Genomic DNA, 9,147 nt, shown 5'->3' on the forward strand with positions numbered 1-9,147 from the left:
AATACTGGGATCTCATCCTCTTTCCCCAGTCCTGCTTCCAGAACAACTATGACTGTGTGCAGGAGACTGGATAATTCTTTTTTGAAGAAACAGAACTACCTCACATGCATGGTGGTCCTCAAGGTTGGCAAGCTACTTCATCTCGCTGCAATGAAGCTCACCAGGCAAAACACCTCACCTCCAGTTGCAGATCATCCAACATGCTTTTTAGTATTTTGCTATTAATTATGAATGGGCAGATAAGGAGCCATAAGACATTTAGGAAAAGGATTCAACTTGAGGGAGGAAGGCCAAAATAAAGAGAAAAAAAAAAGTGGGGGACCTGAAAGACATGATGACTATGAATGAAGGAGACGAAAATTTCAAAAGAGAAGAGCCAGCTGGGTACAGTGGCTCATGCCTATTATCCCAGCACTTTGGGAGGTTAAAGTGCTGAGAATCGTTTGAGGCCAGGAGTTCAAAATCAGCCTGGCCAACATAGTGAGATCCCATCTCTATTTTTATTTAGAAGAGAGAGAGAGAGAGAAGCCTATAATAATATCCTTGGAAAAGTAAGAAAATACATCATGCCTATGAAACCAGAATAGGGATGAATGGGGGAAAAAAAGCACTACACAAGAAAGAACAATGGTTTTTTAAAATATGACAAAACAAGGATTTTGATAGAAAGATTCAGATACATGATCAAGATAATCACTGAAAATAGGATAGAAAAATAAGGAAAATTAGAAAATTATACCAAGGGGGGTAAAATCTAAATAAGAGTTCCAGAATGGAAAAAAAATCAGAGGAAAAAAGTTATCAAAAACAAAATCAAGAGAAATTTTCCAGGGCTAAAAGATATAAGTCCTTGTATTGAAAGCCCCACTGTCTACCTCTTTGACAGATTAAAAGACCCATACAAACACACTCTGTTAAATTTCAGAACAGGGTGAAAGATCCAAAAACCTATAAGCTGGGCTGGGGGAATACGGAGTCATATGCAAAGAAACAGGCATTATAATGGCACTGGATGGCTAACAGCAACATTAAACAATAGAAGACAGCAGGAACAATAATTTCAAAATTCTAAGAGCACACTTTCCAACATAGACCTCAACCTAGACTAAAAAGTAAGTGTGAGCATACAAAAAACATGCATTTTTAAACATTCAATAACTAAAAAAAAAAATATTGCCATACACACTTTTCTAGGAAGCTTCAAAGATGTTTGCTTCACCAAAATGAGGGAATAAACCAAGAAAGGGGAAGACACAGAATCCAGGTCAAAGATACAAAACTTTTTCTGGATGTAAAAAGTACAGTTGACCCTTGAACTTATATGAGGGTTTTTTCCCACCTCTGCCACCCCCGAGACAGTGAGACCAACTCCTCCCCTTTCTCCTCTTCAGCCTACACAACTTGAGGACAACAAGGATGAAGATCTTTATAATAATCCACTTCCACTTAATGAATAGTAAATATATTTTCTCTTCCTTATGATATTCTTAATAACATTTTCTTTTCTCTAGCTTACTTTATTGTAAGAGTATAGTATATAATACCTATAACATAAATTTGTATTGATTTAGTGTTTATGTTCACTGTAAGGCTTCTGGTCAACAATAGGTTATTAGTAGTTAAGTTTTAGGGAGTCAAAAGTTACACATGGGTTTTTTTACTGCACCGGAAATTGGTTCCCCTAACCCCCACACTGCTCAAGGGTCAATTTTATTGAGTTTGAGAACTCTGCACCAAACTACAGAGCAACCAGTCTAGATTAGAGAACCAAGCAGACAACTACAGGAAAGAATTCTGCAGTGGGGTGAATAAGTTGGAGTGAGAGGTTGTTTTGTGTGTTTAAGCATTTGCGAAAAGTTCATCAATGTTTAAAGATTTGGTGGACCATCAAAAAAAAAAAAATACAGCTGGGCACAGTGGTATGTGTCTGTAATCCCAGCTACTCCAGAGGCTATAGCAGGAGGATCACTTGAGCCCAGGAGTTCAAGTCCAGCCTGGGCAACACAGCGAGACCCTGCCCCAGAAAAGAAAAGAAAATTTATAGGAAACTAAATAAATAGAAAACTAAGCAAATAAATAACACCCACTATTACCCCCAAGGATGTGGAAGGAAAATATTGTAAGAGAAATGAAAATGTGATCCTAGTCCAGTAAGTTATTAGTGAGCAATATTTATTATCATAAAAATATAAACATTGTAATTTAAAATATGATAGAATTATATTGGGAAACTGGAAGAAAGAAATGAGACTGAGGTGCAGTAAGAGCTTAAATCCTCAACCACCAGAAAAGCAAGTCAGTGATTAAAATCCATAAATGAAGAAATAAATGTATATTCTTTAGAAACCTATAGGTAAATATCAGAGGCAACTTCCACAGAGTAGTATGGACTGGAGATATTATTTCTAAACTATGTGTCTACATTACTTCGATTAAAATAAAAGTTCTACAAACAACATTCCCTGTGGAATCAGTGTTAACAGAAAGTAAAACTGCATAGCTTTAGGGACTTGAGAAGGTAGCTCTCTAATAACAAATGACTGAAAACCAGAAACTCTTATTTCCCATTTTGGCTAAGATTATTATTACTGTGGCTTCCAGCCTGGAATGGCAACCCCTCTTATTCCCTAGGTTACCTTGGGCATGTTGCTTGGTCACCAAGTACCTCAGTCTACCTCTGTAAATTATGGGTAATGACAATGCTTCTCTCATGGCCTTGGGAAGAGCATCCTTCCACCGTGCCGACAAATAGTAAGCATTCAATGAGAACAGCCCAACAAATAGATCAGTGAGGGGTGCTGGGGCTGAGTAAGGAAGCAGCTGATGCAGAATTAACGGATCATCTCTGCTTTGGACATGGATGAGGGACTGAGCACATGTATGCCTACAGGATCAGGTCGAAGACTTAATGAGTTGTGAGGAATAGACATTAGAATCAGGGCACGCAATGTATGAATGGCAGGGACTATGAAAGAAACAGAAACTTAGCTCATTCTCATCATGGCCATGCAGAATTTCAAGTCTTTTGTACTAGATTCACCTTTTAAATCATCTGCTTTTCAAATCATCTGATTTCAAGTCATAACATGTCAATAAAACATCATGCAAGCCAAACTAAATCCATCTTTAAGCTGTACATAGCTTACAACTCCCCATTCAGCAGTATCTAAGAAAGGTGTTAGCTGGTACAAAAGTTATTGTGGTTTTTACCATTACTTTTAATGCCATTTGTTTTTATGGTTTTTGCACAATAAATTGGTGTAACTTGTACCAGCCTAATAACTTTCTGAGACTCCTAACTGGAGAGCAGTCTCTAAGAAATGCCATTAAAAGTAATGGCAAAAACCACAATAACTTGTACCAACCTATATCCACGGTCTTGCTCTGTATGGCATTGAGTAAAGGCATCATGGCCAGGTCATTCCTTATACTATTTAATGAGAAGGGCGATGGCATGTGCTCTTTTTATTGGTGCATGAAAATAGTTCATTTGCAGTTAATGTTATTACAGAAAGAAATAGTAATTTTAAAATGTTGTGAGTACATATCTTCTTTAATATTCTACGTATTACCTAATGCCTTCTAGTAAATGAAGAGTGCATGAGAAAGTTTGCTCTTTGTTATACTTTTTCCTGGTAATTCTGAAATGTACTAGAAAGTAATGTTTTAGCTCCTGTAATTGTCAATAAGCTTTTAAGTCCTCTACTATGGTCATGATGATATACTTTTGAGATGTTGCAACTACTCATTGAAAATACTTGAAGTGATAGGAAATATGTATATCTGATGTAAATAAAATAAAACATTGAAGAGGAAAATGACTTTCCATTGACCCTGTAAATTTAACATTTAAAAAACAAGAAAATTGAACGTCTATGTAAAAACACTACCTCTCTGTCCATCATGTAAAATGAATTAAAGACATTACCATAATCAAAATACATTTGAAACAAATTATAAGAACTACTTTCTAGAGAGTTTTATCTGTGACTAGAAAATTATAGACTCTTTATTGATAATCACCCAAGTAAACTCTGGGCATAATGTCAGTGTGGACAAAATTTATCAGTGATAGCTAAGGAAGAAATGAAAATGAATTTCAAAACTAATTCAAAAATCCTCAAATTTGTAATTAATATGCAAAGTATTATGTAGATATGAACAAATATCTTTGAAACTGTAAAAGCATATAGCCTAAAATCACAAGACAACCAAACATAACAGTGAACTATTCCCTAAAATTCTAGGTGTAATCGTTAAAATCTTCTAGCATTTCTGTCTTCTAGTGTTTTGTTGGGGGGGGGGGATAGATATTATTACTAAATACGGCTGCTTGTTTCTAATATATTCTATATATGTTCATTAACATTAACATTGATCTTTTAGAACAGGGGCTGGCAGACTACAGCCTGCAGACCAATTTCAGCCATGCCCATTTGCTACTGTCTAACGACCACTTTGCTTTCATGCTACTATGGCAGAGTTGAGTAGTTGTGGCAGAGACTATACAGGTCACAAAGCCTAAAATACTTACTTTCTGATTCTTTACAGAAAAGGATTGCTGATCCTTATTTTAGAGAAGTATATTAGACCTTCATAGGGGAAAAATTATGTAGCTTGTCTCTTTGGAATGTGTGCCTCTAAAATCAGGATCTTTTCTCTTACTTCTTTCACATAATTCATAGCATTTAATTATTGGAAAAATAATAATGTCTTTTCTATAATAAAATGAATATTCTAGGCAAATAGGAAATGATTATTGTCATCTGTTTTTGAAAAATACATTTTTAAATGGGTTCCACATGAACTACCATAATAATCTGGGGAAACAGGATTTATGTCACTGGGCTTCAGAGATTTTTACAGTAGTTTTTTTTCAACAAATAAGATCTTATGATGGAATTCCAATTTAGAGATCAGATAAGAGGAATATATATGTTCCTCCATGGGTTGTCAGGAAAAAAAATTCTCCAGTGAGTCCTTGAATGTCAGGGACGATAGTTTGCAACGGTCTAGAAAAATCACTGAGTTATCGTGGCATATACAACTGGATCATAACCAGATAAAAATAACCAATGACTCTTTTGTTTCCCTTATATCCCCATAATAGATTTTTACAATGTGCTAAACAAGTATTGAATGCTGATGTACAATACAAAGGCAAGAAATTGTATTATATACAAATGTGCTGTAATGAATAAACTGTGAACCCCTTAAGGGCAGAGACTTCCATATAAGAATGCAATATATTCTAAAGGTCATTTTCATGGGACTCAATATATCTTCCACTAATTGGGACATGACTACGAAGGCTGATAGGAATAAAATCATTTGGTCTATATAAGACATACCTAATAGGTCCTAGTACTTTGCAACTTAACTGGGTTATGTTTATTAATGACAGCACATTCTAGTCACTGCCAAAGAAGATACCTATATTTGGTTTAGGATAGAAAAACCTACATTTGAAGAAAGCTTAGCAAGCAGAAATAGTCACAGAAATATTTCAAGAATTGAAGAGTAATAAATTACAGGATGATTATTGCCAAGACACTCTTCCTGTAAGTGGGCTCTTCGAAGTAATCACAAAAAGAATTATTTAGGAAAGCCCACTTTATCATTCTTTATTTAGAGCCAAGTGTCATTATTTTTTATTACCCTCTTCCTATGCCTTAAGCTATACTCACTACAAACCCAAATACATCATTTTTACCAAAAGCAATGTGAGTGAGATGTATGTATCTGTCCTGCTTGTTTCTGCAATATTTGAATGAAAGGGTAATATTATAAAGATGTTCTCAATTTGTAAGGAGAAAAAACTTTGTGTTAAATATAAAATAGACGTGTTCTAATTGTATGGCGTCATCTGTCCACCTGTGCTAGATTTTGCTACACAAATATCAGTCACAGATTCTGTTTCCTACATCTGACTTCAACATCAGACTCCTCTTTTGCCTTTCTGTTCAAACTAGGTCTCTGGATATTGACTTGACATGTATTTTGACTGTAGCATATACAATGTACTCTGGAGTCAAGCACAGCTCGAATCTAAGTTCTGCAATGTAGAAGTTACGGGATGGTGGCAAATTACTTCTGTGTCATGAACTTCATCTTGCTCATCTTTAAGGTAGAATATGTAAGAGAACACTTTTAAAGGGGTGATGAGAGAATTCAATGGTACAGTGCATGTAAAGTACTCAGCTTGATGCACGGCAAGGTGGACAAGGAGACGGAGGTATACAGCTTTTCCTAGACTCTGTTGTCCAACTTTCACTATGAATGCCAGAACTAGCCATCCACTAGGGCTCTGTCTCTCTCCTTCAGTTTGCCTGACAACTGGGTGTCTGACCACTCACATCTCAGAGGAAATCTGCTGATCCCATCTAATCAGAAAATATCAAGACCTGCTGTAGAGAGAAGAGCAACTAAGAAGAATGAATACATTCTAGAGTGGATTTACATAAAATTCTGGGACTTCTGTGAGATGGAATCCCAAGTAAAAGAGAGAATCATTCCGTCTCAGAAGGAATAGTTTGGAGAGACGCTTGATCAAAATAATGGAATCCTAGAGCGCAGTGGTCAGAAGGAGACTATCCTTCGTTATGGGATAATGCAAAGTGGTACACAGAGGAAGGAAGGAAGTCAGGCTATTTTAGGAGATGAAAGGAGGCTTTAAACCTTCTGTTATGCCCAAAGTGAAAGATGGACACATCACCTCTGCCCTTCTGAATTGAGTTGATTCCATGGCACAGAAAAAAGTGCCTTCTTTATGTATATTATAACTCTTCTAACACTATTTGCTGTGAAAGGCAGCACCTATTTGGTATTTAATCAGTACTGTACGCTTGAGAGTGGGAGTCAGATTTCCCTCCCTTCTCCTTTCCCTCTCCACTCCCTGAACTTATTATAGTGGTAAACATTCAGAATAAAAGATACTTATTGAATTGAATATGTAGTTCTTTAAATTGAGATATGAATTGTGTCTCACTGTGGATTTTGTACTTATGTAACAATACCTATTAATCCTGAAATATAAAAAAACCCAAGGTCTTTTGTGTATGGGTATAAAATCTGAAATGTGAAGCCTAAGGGAACACATTAGGGAAAAATGTGTGCTATAATCAGATGGTACAAGTCCAGTTGTCTTCCTTAGTAGAAGAGCAGAAACAGTCAAATACAGAAATGCCTTCCCAGGGCTGTTTATTTTCATTTTTATTTATGTATTTGTTTGTTGACATGGAGTCTTGCTCTGTCCCCCAGGCTGGAGTGCAGTGGTGCTATCTTGGCTCACTGCAACCTCCACCTCCCTGGTTCACGCAATTCCCCTGCCTCAGCCTCCCACGTAGCTGAGATTACAGGCGCATGCCACCATGCCAGGCTAATATATTTTTTTTTTTTTTGCATTTTTAGTAGAGATGGGGTTTCACCATGTTGGCCGGACTGGTCTCGAACTCCTGACCTCAGGCATCCAGAGCTGTTTTGACCCTTTACTGATCAAAGTTCAATAGTACCCCATTCCAACTCCACAGCCATCAAAACAGTCATAATGCTGGGAACTAGGACACTGGTTTGTCATCCTAATTCTTGAAGAACTTAATCCATTTACATTCAAAGTTATTATTGACAAGTAAGGACTTACCCCTGCCATTTTAAAAATTGTTTTCTGATTCTTTTGTATATCCTCTGTTCCTTTCTTCCTCTCTTATTGCTTACCTTTTTGGTTGGTGGTTTTCTGTAGTGACAAGCTTTGATTCCTTTCTCTTTCTCATTTGTGTATCTGCTGAAATGGGTGGAAATTTGGTTACTATGGGGCCTTCTGTAAAAATTCTTATCATTACTGATAACAACTTAACTTTGGTCATATTAAATACTGTAGACATTTTCCCTCCCTGCTACCATTTAAAATTGTGTTGCCTTAATTTACATATTTTCTATTCTGTGTGTTCCTTAACAACTTATTGTAGCTATAGTGATTGTTGACAATCTTGACTTTTCATTCTCATCCTGGAGATTTGAAAGATTATATACTACCAGCAGAAATAGAGTATTCTAAATTTGGTAATAAATTTACATCTATCAGTGAGATTTAAACTTCTACATGTCTTTATGATAGTGATTATTGTCCTTTTGCTTCTAGCTGAAGCACTCCCTTAAGCATTTCTTAAAAGACTTGGTTAGTAATGACGAATTCTTTCAGGTTTTTTTAATCTGGGAAAGACTTTATTTCTCCTTCATTTCTGACAAAAAGATTTGCTGGTTATAATATTCTAGGCTTGCAGTTTATTTCTTTCAGCATTTTAAATATATCATCCCATTCTTTCCTAACCTACAAGGTTTCTGCTGAGAAAGCTGATAATAGTATAATAGGGATTCCCTGATATGTGACTTGAGACTTTTCTCTCGATGCTTTTACAATTCTGTCTTGACTTTTGAAAGTTTGGGCCAGGCATGATGGCTCACGTTTGTAATCCCAGCACTTTGGGAGGCCGAAACAGGTGGATCACCTGAGGTCAGGAGTTCAAGACCAGCCTGACCAACATGGTAAAACCCCATCTCTACTAAAAATGCAAAAATTAGCTGAGCGTGGTGATGCATGCATGTAATCACAGCTACTTGGGAGGCTGAGGCAGGAGAATTGCTTGAACCCAGGAGGCGGAGGTTGCAGTGAGCCGAGATCATGCCATTGCACTTCAGCCCGGGCAAGAAGAGTGAGACTCCATCTCAAAAAAAAAAAAAATTTGATTATAATGTGTTTCAAAGAGTAACTATTTAGATTTAATCTAGCTGGCATCCTTTCAGCTTAATGGATCTGAATCCCATATTTCTCCCAAGTTTGGGAAGTTTTTATCCATTATTTTCTTAAATAAGCTTTCTATGCCTTTGTCCATCTCTTCTCCTTCTGGAACTCCCACAAAGGCCAAATGTTTGTTTACTTAATAGTGTCCCATAAGTCCTGTAGACTTTCTTTGCTCTTTTCATTCTTTTTTCCCCACTCTGACTGGGTTATTTCAGAAGACCTCTCTTCAAGTTCAAAAATTCTTTCTTCTGCTTGATCTAATCTGTTGTTGTTCAATTGTATTTTGTTATTTAATTAATAACATTTATTAAATTATTAAATTTATTAAATTCATTAGCTGTAAGATTCCT

The sequence above is a fragment of the Homo sapiens genome, chromosome 12, assembly GCF_000001405.40.
Source record: "Homo sapiens chromosome 12, GRCh38.p14 Primary Assembly".
NCBI lineage: Eukaryota > Metazoa > Chordata > Mammalia > Primates > Hominidae > Homo > Homo sapiens.